Genomic DNA, 21,494 nt, shown 5'->3' with positions numbered 1-21,494 from the left:
AAGAGAAACAGCATATGAATATCTGGTTCTGACCATCTCCATCAAAACTAACCAGGATACCATTCCCATCTCCAGTCTCCATGGCATGCTTCCTTTGTGGGTAACCCAGCCATGCTCTTTCTGAAGACAAGTTTGCCATTGTTACCAGTCTTAGTCTTCTCTCCCAATGTACACCTCACCTGCACACACCGGGTTTGGCTTTCAAACATCTTTGTAAACATATGCAAACTGACTTTCATATGTGAGAATATTAGCATGCTTTCTTTTATGCCTTCCTGTCAGGTGCTTTTTTTCCACTTTTAATAATAAATACTATAAGGAATCCAGGTTATTTTATCTTTGCATTTTCTCTCTTAGAACTTTTACTTATGACCTAGGTCATTTAGACCCTTGCTGATCTGCCTCTTGGTTTCCATAATCACTAATAAGTTCTGCATATTAAAATTCTAGACCATTCAACATTGCCATCATGGTGAAGTACATCTCTATATGTCAATAGAGCCAGCTGAGTAAATATTAAAGCATAATTGAATTTTTCAAGCAATGACATTTTAATTAAGAAATGTTCTTGGGCTTTTAAGAGTTCAATATATTTCCTTGTAAGAATTTGCCCTTTCAGAATTTTCTTGCAAAAATATCATTGGGCCTAATACTGAAAAAGCTTGCCATTGTTTTGCCTTAGTTGTGTGAGCAAAACTTATCATTTGGGGTCAATGGAATATGTATAATTTTGCTGGTCAATACTAATTAGTACAAAATTGCAAGCACAAAATGGAGGCCATGAAGTATGCCAATACAAGTACTTTACGAGAGGCCTTTAGTTACTTTAGACGTCTAGATCTACAAGTTAAACTGATACATACATATATATATATATATATATATATATATATATATATATATTTAACAGCAGGTGGGTCTGGTTTCAGCTTCGAGTAAAATGGCATCTCTTTCCTTATGTTCCTGGGGGAAAATAGTGCATGCTATTAAGATAGTCACGTATGGTATTATTTTAAGTAGATATTATAGTTGCATTGAGTATGCTTTTAAAGAAATGAAACAGCTAGGTTCGATTTTCAGTCCTTAATGGTTATGATTTTCATTTATTTTTACCTTAGATTTCAAAGACAGAAATCCATGAGTCTTTTTCATACCTACTAGTTTCAATGCCACACTCTCTGATCTTGCCCATCCCTTGATATTCATAGTTTTCTTCACAGTTGTGGGTTACTTCTAACATCTCGGCCTTTCTTTTTACTCATGAATCAATTGGTGCTCAAGGAGCTATTGACCTAAAGGATCAATAAATCAATAGTTACTTATCAGGGACATATTCTGTACAGCATCGTCTGTTTGGAGTTAAAGAGGATGCTAGATTTATAAGATACATTCTCTTCGCTTATGAAGCTTGCCATATTGTCAGAACTGTATGTTGTAGTAAACATATAAAAGAGATGAGAGGCATAAATGAATTTAAGCCAGATAAATAAAATAATACATCTCTTCTATGGCTCTTCTCCCAAAGCCTGAAAGATCTTTCTCCTTTATGTATATGTGTATATATTCATGCATAATTCTATGTATCTACGTATCTATTTTTCTGTCTAGCATAAAATCTTGTTGCAGGTTTTACAGGGGAAATTTGTCATTTTTTTCATGCTAATGTCTAAAACTTCCTCTAATGTTTGTAAAATATTATTTTTTGCCTTCAACTTTCCCAAATTGCTGGCATGTAGAGCTCAAATGCAAAATCAAAGTTGAGACACTCCAATGTTCTCACCTTGAACTTTGAGTTTAAATGGAGTGATGCACAGACGCAGGGACAGAAGACCACTCATATTCACCCAGTGGTTCTGTGGCAGCGGTGCTGGCATTGGTGGACATTATCCAGCAATGGTGGCAGCAGCAGTAGTGATAGTATTAGTTGCAGTGTGGTTGCCATCATGGGACCATGGCCAGGGCATTTTTAATCAGGTTACTTTTGTTGTGGGATCTTGTCAGTCTTCCTGGCTGCCCTTGCTTTCTGCTAATTTTTAAAATCGTGTTCTCCTGGTTTCCTGTTGATTCTCTGAACTACCCAATATTTTCCTATATAGTCCTTTTCTGATTAAATTAATCAGAGTTAGTTGTTTGCAATCATAGCCCTTCTTATTGGTGGAGAGGTTGGGACTGGCAGTGGACAGCAGGCACCAAAGCAAGACATGGAGGAAATGGAAGAAGTCTGGAATGAGTTCTCTGGTCTAGAAAACTGAAGGCACTAAAAATCCATCTATTCAAGGATTGGGATACACATGACATGTGGTGGTGAAACAGCTATTTAAATTATTGCCTTGGTTGTGAAAAGAAGTTCATACTGAAGGCAATCTTTGGAAAAATGACTTTTGGCTCCCATATGAAAATGAGAAAAGGGAATTTAACCTTTTTCCTGTTTAGAAAAAAAAAGGTGCTCAGGAGTTCGAGACCAGTCTGGGCAACACGATGAAACCCCATCTCTACTAAATACAAAAAAATTAGCCAGGCATGGCAGTGTGTGCCTGTAGTCCCAGCTACTTGGGAGGCTGAGGCAGGAGAATTGCTTGAATCCCGGAGGTGGAGGTTGCAGTGAGCCGAGATCATGCCACTGCACTCCAGCCTGGGCAACAGAGCAAGACTCTGTCTCAATTAAAAAAAAAAAGTGCATCTCGCTGCCAGGACTCATTTAATTTTACATAAACATGCTCTTTGAGTCTTGATATGGTTTGGCTGTTTCCTCACCTAAATCTCATCTTGAATTGTAGTTCCCATAGTCCCCATGTGTTGTGGGAGGGACCTGGTAGACGGTAATTTAATCATGGGGGCAGTTACCTCCATGCTGTTCTCATGATAGCGAGTCCTCATGAGATTTGATGGTTTTATAAGTGGCTTTTCCCCCCCTTTGCTCAGCCCTTCTCTCTCCTGCTGCCTTTTGAAGAAGGACATGTTTTCTTCCCCTTCTGCCATGATTGTAAGTTTCCCGAGATCTCCCCAGCCATGCTGAACTGTGTGTCAATTAAACCTGTTTTCTTTATAAATTACCCAGTGTTGGGTACTTCTTCATAGCAGCGTGAGAATGGAAAAATACAAGGCTGAAGCAAATCTGACTGATTTTTAATGTGAAAATAAAATATAAATCTGTTCTTGGAGTTATTTCTAAACAGAACTGACATCAGAATTGTCTGAAGCATCAGAATCATCTGTTTCAGAAAACTCGAACTTATCAAATGAATCTTTGACCAACAACTTTTTGAGAATGATGCTAACATCAGGTAATAATATAGAAATGCTACATTTTTCTTTTTGCAAATTTAACTAATTTACTTTAGGAGATGGGGTCTTGTTATGTTGTCCAGGCTGGTCTCAAACTCCTGGGCTCAAGCAATCCACTCACCTCAGCCTCCCAAAATGCTGGGACTACAGGCATGAGCCACCATGCCCCAAAGGAATGCTACATTTTCTAGGATTTGACATTTTCAGTGATTGAGATTTACTATGTTTTGTAAATAGAAATACCACCACTAAGCACAGAATAAATAGAATGATGTCTATTGTTTCCAAAGTCGATATATTAGAGCAATGCAAAAATAATAATAAAAATGAGATCCATCATAGCAAAGTTATCTCAGAGTAAATGCTGCAGCCGTAAGCACCACTGGCAAGTATTCTCAAGGCATTAAGGACTATGTTTAGTAAACTGGCTTTTTCTATCAGCAGTGGCAACTTAAGAACTTGTCAGAGTCTACCATGTTTTATTCTGATTTTGTTAGGTATTATTAAAAATGAATGTTACGTACATTGCTTCATGCCCAAGAGGGATAAGCTGCCCTTCCAAAAGTGATACAACCAGACACATCCCCATCTGACACACAGCCTGGAGAGATTGGCTATATTGAAAAGACACAAGTTGAAGTCAGCCTTGGCATCACATTAGAAAGAAACATTTCAATTACATTAACCAATTCTTCAACTCTACAACATATCTCCCATGGATCCAGCATTCCCAATATAAATATGCTGCAGATCTTACAATCTGGACACTCAGTTCACCTGGAGATCTAGCTCTGAGGCTCACTAAAATGCCTCAGAAGAGTTTTGGCCCAGTAGTAGACAGTTATATCAAGTATCTGAGGGTCAAGACTATATCAGTTGTAGACATCTTTCTAAGACCATTGAATCAAAATCTATGATCAGAATAATAATGTCTTATGTTTTCTTCTTTTCTTTCTTACGTTTTATTATTTTTTCCCTCTGGCTGTGTATGAGATAGAAAAAAACAATTTTTCCTTCTCTCACACTTAACAGAGCACAGGACACTTCTGTGACCAGGTGTTTGGGGTTTCTTCCTACTAAGCAGCAGTTCTGCAGTGGACACCAACTAGATGTCCTATAATTCAATTAAAATTCTGACAGTCACTATCTGAAGATAGCATTGGGTCCTACAGGTTAAAGGCTCCACCCTTCAAGACTGCCCACCACTTCAGATGACACAAGTGGCAATTGTGACCTGTTCTTCTGACTGGCTATAAATGGCTCCCATGGCTGTCCCTCCTTGGGTTTGATAACTTGCTAGGACAGCTCACAGAATTCAGGGAAACATTTTTCCAATTTATTATGAAGAATACGGATGAATGGCCAGATGAAGAAGTACATACAGAATGAAGTCAGGAAGGATCCCAAGCACAGGAGCTTCTGTCCCTGTGGAGTTGGAGCCTGCCATCTTCCCAGCACAGGGATGTGTTCATCAGCCCAGAAAGGGTTGCTTGAATTTCATTCAGATAAAGCTACATTCATTTCTCTATTTTTTTCTTTCTTTCTCTTCTTCTTCTTCTTCTTCTTCTTCTTCTTCTTCTTCTTCTTCTTCTTCTTTTCTTTTCTCCTTTTCTTTCTTTTTTTTTTTTTTTTTGAGATGGAGTCTTGCTCTGTCACCTAGGCTGGAGAGGAGTGGTTCCATCTTGGCTCACTACAACCTCCGTCTCTTGGGTTCAAGTGATTTTTCTGCCTCAGCCTCCTGAGTAGCTGGGATTACAGGCACCCACCACCATGCCCAGCTAATTTTTGTATTTGTAGTAGAGACAGGATTTCACCTTGTTGGCCAGGCTGGTCTCGAACTCCTGACCTCAAGTGATCCACACACCTCGGCCTCCCAAAGTGCTGGGATTAGAGGCATGAGCCACCGTGCCTGGCCTACGTTCATTTCTTAGAAGTCTAAGATACTGGAATTCACTGGCTTGTAAGAAATTCTACGTTGTCTAGCATCTCCCCAAGTAAACAATGTGTTCTGTAATTTATCCCTGACTCTGGTCCAGATAGAAATTAAACAGGATAACTTTTAGAGGCCTGATACAGCAGTATGTATTAACCAATTAAAGTAGTTCGAGGCAATAAAAGTTGCCCACAACCATAGAGACTGGCCATCAAATGTGGAGCCTATGTAATTACTAAAATATCTTGTTTCATCTGGGAAAGCAATTTAGGAAGTAAAACAATTAATTAAGATGAACAGTCATCTGGTTATCTAAAGTCAGCCAAAATGAGTCTTAGAGACAGAGTTTTGCTCTGCCTCCCAGGCCAAAGTGCAGTGGTGTGATCACAGCTCACTGTAACTTCAAACTCCTAGGCTCAAGCAATACTCCTGCCTTGGCCTCCTAAAGCACTGGGAGCCACCATGCCTGGCCAGAACTGTTTTTTTGGTTATGCCTAGGTGAATCAAAAAACTGAAACCAAGTAAGTCCTAAATGTTTCTTATAATGTCATTCATATTTCTTGCCTTTCTCCACTATTTGATTTGCAATTACTTTAAGATGCTACGCAGCCATTATCCTGAGCTGACATGCAGCTGATTACACCATTTCTAAGACAGAAGTCCTCATGGTCACCTTAGTTCCTTTGGAAGCTGAGGTTGACCAGAAGAGGAAAATGAGAATCACAATGACGGAGAAGCTGTAGCCTTAGCTTAAGGAGGAGGCACTCATTTAAGGACCAATCACTCTTCTACCTAGAGAGCAGAAGGTTCTGGAAAACCTTCAAAGACCTCCTCTTCTCTCCTCAATAACTCTTCCAGTCTGCTCAAGGGAAAATTGCCCTCCTTGGTAACTTTAGTCAATCAATTTACCCTAGGAGAAAATAAAATAAGATTTTCTATTTCATAGTCCATCTGCAGATTTTGCCTTTTAAAATTCTACCTTTCGGAGAGACAGTCTACATATGATTGAACTCCCTCTTAGGTGAGTAAACTTCAGCTGAGTTCTAGCTAAATTGCCTATGAGCCATTCTTTGACAACCAGTATTTGAGTGGTCACTTTTTTTTGAGAAGTGTTTTGCGTGTTTTAAATGCATCGTTAGGTGATCCTCACAGCTTGGGAACTAAGTACTCTTCTATGGCCATCTTCCATATAAAGAGTGAGGCACAGTACAGGTAAATAACCTGCCCAAGATTACTTAATTAGTAAGTGTGGGACATAGACCCAAGTACTCTGACCTCCAGAGCCAAGGTTTATTGGTTTTGTTTTTGTTTTTGTGTTTTTTTCTGATTTTTAAGCTTACTGCTTTTTTATTATTATTATTTTACCTTAAGTTCTGAGATACATGTGCAGAATGTGAAGGTTTGTTAAATAGGTATACATGTGCCATGGTGGTTTGCTGCACCTATCAACCCATCATCTAGGCTTTAAGCCCTGCATGCCTTAGGTATTTGTCCTAATGCTTAAAAAGTATAATATACATACACAAAAATGAATACATTACAAATGTACGGCTTGGTAAATTTTTACACACGGAACCCATATTAGTAGCCAGCACTCAGTTCAAGAAACATAACATTATCAACACCCCAGAAGCATTCCTGCTGCTTTCCTTTTAGTGCCTCCCCTTCCCTCCTGAAACACGATCCTAAACCAGCTAAACCACTATCATGGCTTCTACCAGCATAGATTATCTTTGCCTGTTTTGCACTTTGTAAATAATTGGAAGCATTATAGCATGTGCTCTTTTGTATTTGACTTTTTCAAATTCAGTATTTTATTGGTGAGATTCATTGATATTTTTTATGTGGGTGCGTATTGTTCTTTTTTTTTTTTTTTTTTTTTTTGAGATAGGGTCTCATCCTGTTGTCCAGGCTGGAGCGCAGTGGCATGATCATGGCTCACTGCAGCCTCAACCTCCTGGGCTCAAGTAATCCTCCTACCTCAGCCTCCCAAGTAGCTGGGACTACAGGAACGTGCCACCAGGCCCAGCTAATTTTTTTTGTTTTGTAGAGACAGAGTTTTGCGTGTTGCCCAAGGCTGGTCTTAAACTCCTGGGCTCAAGCAATCCTCCAGCCTTGGCTTCCTAAAGTGCTAGATTACAGGCTTCCACCGCCACACTTGGCCTATTTATTCTTATTGTATAATTCCACTGTATGAATATATGGCAATTTCCTCATCCATATTAAAATTGATGGGCATTTGAGCTGTTTCTAGTTTGGGACTGGACTCCTTGCTTCTGCATATGCACTTAGGAGTGGAGCTGCTGCATACATAATAGGATCTTAATAGGATCTATGTGTGTTTATCTATAGAAGATACAAAGAGGATAAACCACTTACACCCCCATGAATAGTATATAGGGTTCCAGTTGTTCCACATCCTTGTCAACACTTGGCATTAAATGTCTTTTACATTTTGGTTATTATGATGGATATTCAGTTTTATCACATTACGGTTTTCATAGGTATTTCCCTAATGACTAATAAATATGAGCACCTTATCATATACTTGTCATTTAATATCTTCTGTTTTTAAGGGTCTATTCAAGTGTCTTTTGACTTTTTTTATTCTATGGTCTGTCTTTTTTATTATTATTAATTTGTTGGGATTGTTTATGTATTCTGGATGTGACTTATTGCCAGATACACATATTGAGAATAACTTCAACTACTTTTGGGGCTGTATTTTTACTCAGTGATGTCTTTTGATGAACGCAAGTTCTTGATGTTAAAATAAATTTGTCTTTGATCTGTCTTTTTTGTTTGTTTATAGTTAGGTCCTTTTGTGTCCTGTTTATGAAATCATTGCCAACACCAAGGTCACAAGAATGTCCTCCTGTATTTTCCTCTAAAAGCTTTATTGTTTCTCCTTCCACATTTAGATCTGCAATCCATCTGGAGTTGCATTTTGTATATGATACAAAATAGAAGCCAAGACACACGTTACTAATCCATGTGGATAACAAGTTGACCCAGCATTGCTCATTGAAAAGGCCATCTTTTCTATTCCACTCTAGTGTTGTTTTGGTGTAAATCATGTGTTTGCACATGTGTATTGATTTGTGGACTCTATTCAGTACTATTAGTTTGTCTTTCCTTGTACCAGTATAAAACTGCTATAATTACAGCCTGATTCAGTCTTACTATCTCTTACTGTTAGTCTCCCAACTTTGACATTTAAAATAGTCTTGGTTATTTTCAGCACTTTTCATCACCATATGCATTTTAGGAAGACTTTTCCATTTTCTATTAGTATGATATGAAATCCATAGGTTAAATTTGTGGAGAATAAAAATATTTACAATGATGAGTTTTCTAATCCATGAACATATTATAGTCTCTATTTATTTATGTCTTTAAAAATTTCTCCCAATAATGTTTTGAGTTTTCAGTGTGAATGTCTTAAACACTTGTTCATTTCTTGGATGAATGTGCACAAGATCAGTGTTATTTCTACCACCGCGTTTGGAAGAATCAGTGAAGCTAAATAACCCCAGAATTATTTATGTGAGGACGTTTTTAATAAGTTTCAATTTCTTACAAGAACTTTTTTGTGAGTTTTGGTAAGTCTTTTTTTAAAAGAATTTTAAAAACTTAATCCAAATTGTCATATTACTGCTACTCTTATTCTTAATAACATTTTGATGTCTGCAGTGTCTGTAATGAGAGTCTCTTTTATTCCTGATATTGAAAATCTCTCTATATTTTAATCTATCTTCCTCAAGAGCTACCGTTTTGTTATCTTTTAAACAGACTTTTGCTTTGTTGAATCTTCAACGGTATATTTTTTTCTATATTTTTAAATTCATTTCTCTTTTTAATCTTTGTAATTTACTTTCTTCCCTTAATTTGCTATTTTTGTTGTCATGGCTTGAAATGGAGGCTTAAGTATTTTAGTCGTTTTATGTAATATGTACATTTCAAGTGTACTTTTTTCTAAGTACTCCTTTGGCTGCATTTTTTTTTTTTTTTTAGACAGAGTTGTGCTCTGTCTCCAGGCTGAAGTGCAGCGGCATGATCTTGGCTCACAGCAACCTCCGCTTCCCTGGTTCAAGAGATTCTCCTGCCTCAGCCTCCCAAGTAGCTGGGACACAGGCGCAATGACCACGCCCAGCTAATTTTTGTATTTTTAGTAGAGACGGGGTTTCACCATGTTGGCCAGGATGGTCTCTATCTCTTGACCTCATGATCCACCCGCCTTGGCCTCCCAAACTACTGGGATTACAGGCGTGAGCCACCACACCTGGCCCTTTGGCTGCATTTTTGAAATGATGTACCACTCCCTTTAAAATTATCCCTATTTTTATTTTGTTTTCTTCTTTCACTCATGTTTGAATTGTAATGTTTAATGTTTTATTTACTGTTTAGGTGATTTGGGATTTCTAGTTGTTTAGTTCCAGCTTACTGCCAATATAATCAGAGAATATACCCTAAATTATCCCGAATTTTGAAAAATAATTGAGGCTTAATTTATGACTAACTATATGATTGATTTTTGTAGTTCTATGTGCTCATGAAAGGAATATGAGCACAATCATATTTACAAGAATGAGGCCAATTTTATTAATTTTCAGATCTTTGTAAATTATTTAGATCTTCCAAATCGTGGCTCATTTCATGTCTGCCTGCCCTGTCAACTGGTGTGAAAGGTGTGTTAAAGTCTTTCGCTGTGTTTGTAGGTTTATCTACCAATCTTTTGTTATTCTATCAGTTTCACTTACATATTTTGAAGCTTTGGTATCAGGATTATGCAAATTACATTTATGATATATTCCAAATGTCTGTTTTTAACTCTAGTCATTATGAAATATCCCCCCTTACCTCTTGTATTTCTCCTTGCCTTACAGTCTATTTTTAGCTAGGTTAGTGTAGATTCTGTAGCTCTGTATCAGCATTTATAATGTCTGATCTTGCTCAGCATCATAAGTCAGACATTATTGCAGTAACTTCTACATAATAACATCTACCAAATATTTGTGGAAGGAAAGAGAGTGTGAAGAAAAGTAGTATATAGATTCCCTGTAGTCTGGATCTGTGGTCTTTGGTTCGATATTAGGGTTATTCATAGAAACAGAAGCAATAGGGTGTGTGTGTGTGTGTGTGTGTGTGTGTGTGTGTGTGTGTGTGCATGTGTGTGTATACAGATGTTCCTTGACTTATAGAATTACACCCCAATAAATCCACTGTAAGTTGAATGTATTGTGAGTCAAAAATGCATTTAACACACCTAACCTACCAAACATCCTAGCTTAGCCTAACTTATATTAAATGTGCTCAGAACACTTACATTACCCTACAGTTGGGCAAAATTATCCAACACTAAGCCTACTTTATAATAAAGTGTTGAATATCTTCTGTAATTTATTGAATATTATTTTAAAAGCAAAAGCCAGAATGGTTGTATGGGTACCACCATAAAGCCAAACAAATTGTTAAGTTGAACCATTGTGAGAAGGGCACCAGTGAAAGAGAGAGAAAGAGAGAAAGAAAGATATTTTAAAGAGTTGTCTCACAGGATCATGGAGGCAAACATGTCCAAAATCTGTAAGGTAGGCTGGAAGGCTGGAGGCCCAGGAAGAGTTGCACCTTGAGTACAGAGGCAGTCTGGTGCAAAAGTCTCTTTTCCTCCAGGAACATCAGTCCTTGCTTTATTAAGGACCTCAACTCAATTAGATAAGATCAACCCATATTATGGAGGGTAATCTGCTTTGCTCAATGTCTACTCATTTAACTGTTATTCTCATCTAAAAAATACTTTCACAGAAACATCTAAAATAATGCTTGGCCAAATATTTGGGTACCCCAGCCTAGTCAAGTTGACATGTAAAATTAACCATCAAAGGTCTGTTGAAATCTTGTTTTGGTAATGATATTGTCTGTATTAGTCAGGGCTCTCTAAAGGGACGAAACTAATAGAATAGATGTATATATGAAAGGGAGTTTACTAAGGAGAATTGATGCACATGATTACAAAGTGAAGTCCTACAACAGGCCATCTGCAAGCTGAGGGGCAAGGAAGCCAGTCCTGAGTCCCAGAACCTCAAAAGTAGAGAATCTGAAAGTGCAGCCTTTAGTGTGTGACCAAAGGACTGACAGCCCCTGGTAAACCACTGACATAAGTTCAAGAGTCCAAAATCTGAAGAACTTGGAGTCCGAGAGCAGGAAGCATCCAGCATGGGAGAAAGATGAAGGCCAGAAGACTCAGCAAGTCTGCTCCTTCCACCTTCTTTTGCCACTTTATTCTAGCCATTATGGCAGCCGATTAGATGGTGCCCACTCTGATTGAGGGTGGGTCTCTCCCAGTCCACTGACTCAAATATTAATCTCCTTTGGCAATACCTTCATAGACACACCCAGGAACAATACTGCACATGATTCAATCCAATCAAGTTGACACTCTATTAACCATCACATTGTCTTTGGAGTTCCAGCCACCATGGAGGCCAAAGGTTAGCCGGATTTGGGCAGAGGACATAATATTCCAAAATTCTTAAGTTTCTCTAAAAACCACTCTGTTACAAAATTGTTTTCACCCCTCAAGACCTCCCAAAAGATAATGTGAAAGTTGTCAGAATCAAAATGAAGTCACTAATGTTAGAAAAATCCTGACAGCTAGAGCTGAGGAAGGCTATGGAGAGTTCTCACGCATGTATACCTGACAACAAAAACTATCACAAAAGACTGCAAACAACACAACCTTGTGCAAAGGCCATCACAACCTTACACAGAAAAGACTTCTGCAAGACATCTGCCTAACAGCTGCCTGTCCAACCTCAGACTGGCATCACCCTTGCTGTAGATCTTTGTAGTCAAGGATAATTATTTCAAAACAAGTATGCAATCCTCCTTATTTGCTTTAAAAACCCTTTGTCTTTCTTTCTTTCTTTCTTTCTTTTTTTTTTTTTTTTTTTTTGAGGCAGAGTCTTGCTCTGTTGCCCAGGCTGGAGTGCAATGGTGCAATCTCGGCTCACTGCAACCTCTGCCTCCTGGGTTCAAGCAATTCTCCTGTCTCAGCCTCCCAAGTAGCTGGGACTACACAGGTGCACGTCACCATGCCTTACTATTTTCTGTATTGTTAGTAGAGATGGAGTTTCACCATATTGGTCAGGCTGGTCTCAAACTCCTGACCTCAGGTGATCCACCCGCTTGGCTTCCCAAAGTGCTGAGATTACAGGTGTGAGCCACCGCGCCCAGCACCTTTGTCTTTCTTCACCAACCTGAATACACACATAGTTTACTATGGCATGCGTATTCACTTCAATGCACTATTCCCCAGTAAACATCATTTTCTTTTAGAGAGCCTCTCTTTGTTATTTAGATTGACAATGAAATATTATAGCTACCAAAGTTAATGTATAAAGCATATTTAGAAAATAAAATATCTGCTCTTAACCATATTATTTTATTATTTCTCCTGGGCTATTTCAAACTTGACTAAGTCTTCCTCCCATCTCTGTTTGCATGTGCAGAAAGTACCCTGCTAGAGGGTCAGGGAACAAACAGGTCTAACAAGGAGAGCTATAATCTCTTCTTTTCTCCAGAAGTATCTCTCAAAAGTAAAAATAAAAATTATTCCCACTGTATTTTAAACCCATGGTTAAAGACCCCCCTTTTAAACTTGTCAATTCTTTTTAATAAAGAATACCAACACAGATTTAAGTCAACTTCTCCCGCCACGCAATTAGTGAGCTAAATTTGTGATGTTGTAAAATGTTATTTTATATATATATGTGTGTGTGTATATATATATGTATATATATGTGTGTATATATATATGTGTATATATATATGTGTGTATATATATATATACACATATAGCTCAAAGTCATCAATCATACTCTAGGTATGCAGAACATTTTATTAATGTTATCATAAAAATCTATGTAAAATTTATCAAAAGATGTGTTAATTTTAAATAGTTTTTGCTCAGTAGATACTAATCTCTCTTCAACTCCTATTTGTTGAAAGCCTTTAGGAAATTGAATTAGCATTTAACCACTTTCTGTTTTACATTAACAAAGGCTACTGAATTGCTAGAATGTACTCCTAACTAATCTATAATTTTCTTTTTCTTGAAAACCCAGATCAAAACTCACCTCCAGCCATTCCTAACTAATGACTCCCTTCCCTTTAACACACAAACACACACGTAACTAAGATTGTGTCCTCTGAACATTTGGGCTTGTTTATGTCTTCCTTTTTAAGTGCATTTATGTCCCTTTCACAAGTGTTGGTTTTCTTAATGCTCACTTGTAAATTACGTACCTTTGAAAATCCCAATAACTTTCTAAATACCCTAAGGCTGTATTTAATACACCACAGTAGTAACATGCTGATAGCTCCCTAGTGGTTTTAAACAGTTAATGCAGCATCATAAGAGGCCTAATTTATTATTAGGGAGTAGTTCAGACACAGGGGAAATGTACTATGTAAGAAGTTTTCATGACTATACATCAAAATCTCCAAGTATCTTTAATCTGGTGCTCCCTCAAATAACATGATAATTTATCTTTATACTTCTATATCAGTTTCTTAATAGTAGCACTATAGACATTTTGGACTGATCATTCGTTGTTGTGGGATAATGGGCTGCTGTAAGCATTACAGGATGTTTAACAGCATCCCTGGCCTCTACTTACTAGATGCCCATAGCCCACTTCCTGCCCAGGTGTAACACCAAAAATGTCTCCAGACACTGGCACATGCCCCCTGGGGTCATGGGAAAAAAATTGACTTTCAGTAAGTCCCACTGGTGTACACCTTCCATCTCTATTTTAAAGAAATTAACAATTACTTTTGTTACAGGAAAATTTTTATTAAAGATCAATGCCGTTAGCATTAATTAACTCAAATTTCTTGGCACTCAGAATTTCCCTGCTAAAAAGGTTTTGAGATCATTCAAGGATGCCAATTTGAATAATCCATGGTCTTATTGGTTTAATATCACTAATACAGTCAAAGCAGCAACTTCAGAGTAATCCAAAATCTCTCAGGCACTGATCTGATGCAGCTTAAATAGAGGCAGCTGCCAAAAACTTGGCAGTGTGTGTGAGAGACTCAAGATAAAAGAGTTATCTGCTCTTCCTGTCTTCTGGGAATGCTCCCTGACCTCCATGGGTAGAACCTCTCCGCCTATTGCCAAATGATGTTTCACAGGAGAATTTAAATTTTAATTCTACTGGAAATATTTAAAAATGCTAATTTCATCAGGAATTCCTGGAATGACTACTGTCCTTAATGACTTGTTCCTAGCCTATACTCCTATCTCCTTCTGAAGCACCTCACAGTGGGGACATTTGCCCCCTCTTAGAACTATTTTTAAAATTTTCTTTTATTTGAAAGTCGTTTGTGATATTTAAATAACAACAACTCCCTTTATTTTTGCAACTCCTTTTATTTTTTTACTTAGTTCATTTCACAAACATTTATGAAACATTTTCTATGTAGTGTGGCAGCTCCCATTGTCACACCAATAAAAGATAATAAAATTAAGTCATATTCTTCCTGGCATAGATTTCTCTCTGTGCTTTGACAACTAAAACAGCTCAATGAGTAAATATGAAAAACATGTTCTAATTTTTCAGCGTTCTCATATAGAATGGGACAACTATAATGGGCAGATTAAAATTATTATTCTAAAGAACGTTTTTGCTGTGATCTTTTTTATCACAATACATTATTGAATTATTTGGGCTGTACTGTAAAAATGTCCTTATTTTATCAATTCAATTTTCCTGATGTTTATTAACTTATATTTCTATTTTTTCCTCTAAAGCAACTTAGGCAGGATTGTCATAATACACAAAATATAATTGGGGAAGTTAGTTGTGTAACCCTCTTAATTATGGAAGACTCTGGTAGTCTGATCAAGAGGAAAGTGAACAGCATTTCTGGAATGTTGTTTCCATAGGCATTCTGGAAAACAATCGTTCCTTTTTTTTACTTCCTTTGAGACTAAAGGATAGTTGGGACTAGAGTTAGTTTTGTCATTCCTCTTCTCCTTGATGTGTTTGGTCAAGTTTTTACATGTCACCATCGCTTGAAAAGGCTTAGAAAAAAATGCTTTACTATGGAATTTTGCCTTAGTATGTGTTCACCATTTTGACTGCCTCCATCATTTCCACTAAGAGCTCACCACTGGCTTATTCTCCAGCTCCACTTTCAATCTCCCCTTTGACTTTCTCCTGCTACTCCCAGAACCATATCTCAGTCTACTCTGCTGTTAGCACCTCCTTTCCTGGCAGTTATTTTCTCATTGTTCCAATTCCTCTCTTGATTCTTAGGTTTCTTATGTAACAAGTTTCTGTGGGCATGCTCATTGACTGATCTTCTCCAGTTCAACTCTATTTCTCACAAATTACAGACAACTCTACCTGTTTGAAATGAAAGGAAAGCACGAAGGGGAAAGGGAGCTGGGCTTATTGACATGGGGTCACTTACCCCGTTCCCAGATGACTCCAACCTAGATTCTGAGCTGCAGTCTGCCTTCTGGACTCAGCAGACACAGGCCTGAAGAGAGTGGTCATTCAAGGCCTACAACCCTTTCATAAAAGGGGAGGATTCAATGATGATAAGGAAAAGGAAGGGAATTTAGCTCATTATAAACCTATCACGGTAACTTGTTAAAGATTTTAACTGCTTCATATGTTGTGTTTTTATACTCTTGACACATCCTAGTATCATCTTATTCTACATATTTCTACCTTCTAAGAGAGAAATAAGAGAGACAAGTCATGCAAGCAAATTCTCCTTTTTATATAATAACTTACCTAGGATGTCCCCTTAAAACTCCTGTTTTCCATGAAAGCCTGAAGAATCCTCTTTTAAACATTCCTGGGGAGTATTATATGGCTTCCCCTTCCTGTTAGATCCATTTCTGCACCCATTAGAATAGGTAACCAGATGTGCCTGTCACATATGAATGAGGACAATTTGTAACCAAGAGAGAAGAAGGAGAATAAAGCACAGAAAACAGTTCCCCTATTAATTTGCACACATGCAGGTCTTGTCCAGATACCTAAAAAGCAATAGTTTCCCTTCCTGAAATCTCCAAGGCTATTGTGGTTGACCATGAGGTCAGGGGAAGGGCTAATTGCAAGAGCAGCTGTCATCGACCCAGAGAGTTAGCTGAAGAGTCAAGTACAAAGGCCTACTGATGCTCAAAACATTCCTCAAAGCACTCACTGGAGTCTCAGGACTCAGTGTTAAGGAGATTAGTGATGGGTGAACCACAAACATGTTTAGGCATGTTTTCCCTTCTTATATTTAACAATACGGATAGTCACTTATATCCTAGATATATCTAACCTGATTACTATCCACCAGAAAGTTATGTCTAAATTTAATATTTAGCACAACAAAAAAGCCATTTTAAAGTACTTGAGCTGCCAAATTCAGGACTTAGCCTTGGTTATAGTAATATAATCAAGAATCTCCATTATTTCAATATGGTCTTAGCAATGAATATCCATAGCTATATTATAGTTGTATTTATTCTCTAACTGTACATAAATAGACAAGACTCTTCGTCTTAAATTAGGTAGAAGACATTGTCAGCCTTAAAATAAGAATTATTAGTTATTAAAATTATAAATCTGAAAGCTACTTAGAAAAACTAAGAAAAAATTATGATCCACTGTGGAGAAGAAGCAGAATATATGAAATGTAACTAGGAAAATATGCATTTCCTTGGATAATAATGAGGAAATATGAAAAAATGAATACTTAGTGTTTCAGGAATTAAGGAATACTGAGAATTTATTATCAGGATGTTCTTTAATATGATTGGTATATCATAATTTAAAAAAAATTAAATGATGACTTCCAGAAATGTTGGAGTTTGAGTCCAGCTTCTTCATGGAAAGGGGATCAGGAGAAATTCAGGGGTAATAGATTAAAAACTCTCTTTTCTTATTCAGCTCAATTCTAAAGATGAACAACATAATTACCTCAAATGAAACAGCACTCACAAAGGTTACATCTTGCTGTAAGTACACTTGTACTTACCCTACTCACAATGGTATGTGTCTGCAGGATAAATGGATGGTGACGCATATTTGTATGTGGCATTTCAATTGTTTTCATGTGTTTGCAATGTGAATGAAGCAGTGTATCTCTTAAGGTGAGTAAACTCTCTCCAGCAATGAGAAATAAGACCTTTGAGAAGATTCCGGGGTGGGGGGTTCACATGACAGATAGTTAACCAGTTAGCATGCCTGGTCTGAATGCTTGGTAATCAAAAAGCACCTATACTTTCTCCTAGAGCTCTGTGACACAAGTGTCTCCAGAGAGTAGAAAGTGATTTGTTCCACAACAGTTTCTTTCTCCTAGCTCTCCCAGCCCATGTATAGTATCTTGACCCAGCGACATTAACAAATGTTAACTAGTGAATTAAAACCAGGCATCCACTCCCAGAACATCTGGCTTAAAGAGAATGTTATCATTAAGGCAAGGTAGGAAAAGAAGTCACAGATAGTCAATCAGTCTATTATAATTACTAACAGCAGTATTGATACTAATACTTGCTATTAACATATATATTAATGAGTGCTTGCTCTGGTATCCCAAATTTAATTTTTGCTCTGATCTCTTCAGATTTGTCTTTGGGTATACAGCACTTCTTCATGTCTCTGCTGTTGGCCAAGACTTTTGGTCTTCACACTGTGTTCCCTGAGTCCCTACTCACTCCAGCCTCTACTTCGCAATTACAGCCTGGCCTCCATGCAAAATGAAGAAAGTTTTCCAACACCACCATGGGGGATAATACTGGGGAAGCCACTGGCTTTTGCATGGCGCCACTGGAGTACGAACCCAGAGCTCCAGCACTCTCGAACTTCATCTCCGGCCCTGGCCTCATCTGCCCTTACTCTGAATTTGCTTCCCCTCCATTTCCCTGCCCTGAATTGTTTCTTCCTCTGTATTATCATCTCCTAGTCTCATTCTGCTGATGTTCCATTACAGATTAATAAAGGAGTCTCTCCATATCCTCTCTGTCCACGTTCGTTGTGGACGGGGTCACCAGGAAGATGGTTCCTGGGTGATGAGAGTGTCCAGGACATTGTCTTCGGTGGACTACTGGCACAGGGACCTGAATAAGACACTGGGATTTACAAAGTGGAAAAGAAATCACTGAGGGATCCCTCAAGCCACTGAAAACATGTACCATTTGCCATAAAACAGCATTAAACATTAAGTCAACAGATTGCACATGAATATCAACAATCCTGCAAAAAAAGCCAGTCCCTTAAGAAACATCAAGATTGACAGTTGTCATCAGAGAAATGATGAGGACCAGGATCTTCAGGGTACCATCTGGTGCTGTGAGTACCACCTTTTCCTCTCCTCTATGTTGGGAGTCTCTATTTTTTACCCAGTATCACTTCTGTATTTTTTTTTCTCTAACTTGGTGCTTTTCATCATTTTCTTCATTTAAAAAAATAACAAACTATATTTTATTGGTTATAAAGGAAGTAAACGATCTATGTAGAACATCATCTGTCACTACTCTGGAGCTGAGCTGGCTTCTGCGTCCTCACTAGCTACACAGACAGAGTTGGACATTGATCCATGCCAAAAATACATAGCAGATTCTCAGACCACCACAAATCCGTGGTGGTCTTCTTAGCCACACATGATTTCTGTGTAATTCTATCAATAATCTTTACATCAGATGCACAGTGATCTCATCATTTTTACCCTTTTCTGCTTCTGCCTCCTCCACTAAATTCACACTTCCTTGGATAGCAGTCCTCCTCACAGACATTATATTTGAGGTAGGAATCAATGCTATTTTTAAATACGCCCTTGTTGACCACTGAATTCCATTATGCTTCTCTTTTTCAGTTGGAAAATACTAGAATTTTTATTATTTTATTATCTGCCAAACTCAGCAGACCTTAAAACAAAGCATTTCATGAGGAATTCAACTAATGGGAAAGCAAAAGTTATAATAATTACGCTATTTATAGCAAATGAACATTGCTCTTAAACACATAGACTTCATAAGCTATTATACCTCATGTTGTTTAGTATAACTTGAGGTATAGTTATTTACATAGTGGGTTATTTGGTTAGCATTAAACATTTGTTTTACATCAGATGACCTCAAAATGCCCAGAATAAAACCAACTCTTCACAACTTCTTTATATGATGTTATATTTACAAAAGGATATCATTCATGTTTAAATATTTACAGAAAACTTAAAATTCATGTTTATAACTTCGGAACATTGAAATAGAGAAATTTTTGATAAGCATACTCATGTACACCATTAAAAAGTCCTTAAAGTCTAAAACAGGGCATATATTTCTTTGTCTTCAAAACGTGTAATTGTTAACCCTACTCCCACTATGGTTGTGGCTTCTCCTGGGAGAAGAGTTCCATTTGCCTTTCCATAACAGTTCTTTCCCATGGTTTGGGAGTTAAGGATCCTAGTTTGGCCTCAGCCACGTAAAAACTCATGACGTGACAAGCCATAGTATATTGGGGCCTCAACTGATTTCCTGTAGACTATTAAGAAGGCTCTACATGATTTCTACAGAAGTCTGGAGATTCTGCTGATGCCTTTCTGGATTCTGTGTGTCCTAGCCTGACATTAGTAAACAACTCTTTGCTTTACTGGCAGCTTTTTTTTTTTTTTCTGAGATGGAGTCTCACTCTGTCGCCCAGGCTGGAGTGCAGTGGCGCGATCTAAGCTCACTGCAACCTCCGCCTCCCAGGTTCAAGTGATTCTCCTGCCTCAGCCTCCTGAGTAGCTGGGATTACAGGCATGCACCACCACACCAGCTAATTTTTGTATTTTTAGTAGAAACGGGGTTTCACCATATTAGTCAGGCTGGTCTTGAACTCCTGACCTCATGATCCATCCACCTCAGCCTCCCAAAGTGCTAGGATTACAGGCGTGAGCCACTGTGCCCAGCCAACGGCATGTTTTTGGAAGTGTTTTTTCACAGATAGCCAAGATGGCTTCCTGTAGGTGTTACAACAGGTTTCTCTTACCTCAAATGGCTTTTTCAAAAAAATGATATAAGTACATTTGCTACATGACTCAATTCCATTTCTGGGTATTTACCCTAGAGAAATGAAAACTTATGTTTACAGAATAAGTGTGATGAGAATGTTTATAGCAGTTCTATTAATAATTGCTAAAAACTGGAGAAAAAAAAAACAAAAAACAAATGTTCACCCACTGGTGAATGGATAAGCTGAAGGGATTACATCAATAAAATGGAAAACTACTCAAAAAAATAATGATATTTGCAAAAACTTGGATGAATCTCAAAGACATTGTACTGAGATAAAGAAGACTGTCTCAAAAGATTACATATGGCATGATTCCATTTAGATTAGACACTCTTGAAAAGAGAAAGACACAGTGATGGAGAATAGATCAGCAGTTTCCAGGGACTATGGGAAGGGGAAGGTTTAACTGCAAAGGGATGGCACCAGAGAGCTTTTGAGATGATGGATGTGTTGTGTATTCTGATTGTGGTAAATGTTACAGAAGTTTATACCTGTGTTAAAAATCATAGAACTGTATACCAAAAAAAGACCATTTTACTGCATATAAATTCAAAAATTAAATTAAATCAAGCAAAGTATAAATGGACAAGTATATAATGATAATAGCATAGGTTAGCAGACTGATTTACCATTGATTCAGAAATAACGTCAAAGCAGAAAAATACAGTGATTAATATCTCAGTTTTAGAGTCAGTAACTGGCATCTTTTTCAGCTGCTTAATAGTTTTGTGATGCTGAGAGAGATGTTGAACTATACTGAGACTCACTTCCTTGTGTATCAACTGTGGATGATAACGGTGCCCACCTCAAATAATTGTTGCAAGGGTAAATGGCATGTATAGTATGTAACTATTAATAGCTTTAGTAATACCGCTAATATTATGGTGGAAATAGTTATATACATTTCCCTATTTAGCTCTTTTATGATAAAGAAAATCTGGCTATTCCTGCCCCCCCAACACACACAGATGGACAACTACTATCATTATTCTTCTCACCATTGTTACACACAACACACTTGAGGTGCATTAGAAACTCAACTTTCTAGAGAAATTTGTTAACTACTGCTAAGTAACATATTGGCAACTTCTGTCTTAAGAATATTGCAAACAGTCCTACAATATTTTGGAAGAAAAGAAATGCACTTGGTGAAGCAGTGACTATTTAGAAGTCCAAGATTTTCACTCCCAAAAGAAAGACATTAGGGCTTTTGT

General features: G+C 37.6%; 1 long non-coding RNA gene across 1 annotated transcript in view, besides 1 other annotated feature; it reads right to left on the bottom strand.

The window, feature by feature from the left end:
• Positions 1-1,200: 1,200 nt before the first annotated feature.
• LOC107985990 (uncharacterized) overlaps positions 1,201-21,494 on the bottom strand; it is a 35,076-nt gene continuing 14,782 nt past the window's right edge. The window contains exons 3-5 of the long non-coding RNA XR_001739902.1: positions 16,027-16,165; positions 3,810-3,899; positions 1,201-1,292 (exon numbers count right to left, since the gene is read on the bottom strand). This is a non-coding gene — a long non-coding RNA (uncharacterized LOC107985990). The remainder of the gene's footprint in view (positions 1,293-3,809; positions 3,900-16,026; positions 16,166-21,494) is intronic.
• Positions 15,708-16,907: an enhancer, noted in NCBI's record as "MED14-independent group 3 enhancer chr2:221719713-221720912 (GRCh37/hg19 assembly coordinates)". NCBI's record gives its function as "activates an origin of replication core promoter dependent on BRD2, BRD4, P300/CBP and CDK7 cofactors, and independent of MED14, by STARR-seq in HCT116 cells {active_cell/tissue: HCT116}" and the evidence as "EXISTENCE:reporter gene assay evidence [ECO:0000049][PMID:35650434]".

The sequence above is a fragment of the Homo sapiens genome, chromosome 2 (genome assembly GCF_000001405.40).
Source record: "Homo sapiens chromosome 2, GRCh38.p14 Primary Assembly".
Lineage (NCBI taxonomy): Eukaryota > Metazoa > Chordata > Mammalia > Primates > Hominidae > Homo > Homo sapiens.
This window is presented reverse-complemented; position numbering and strand designations above follow the sequence as displayed.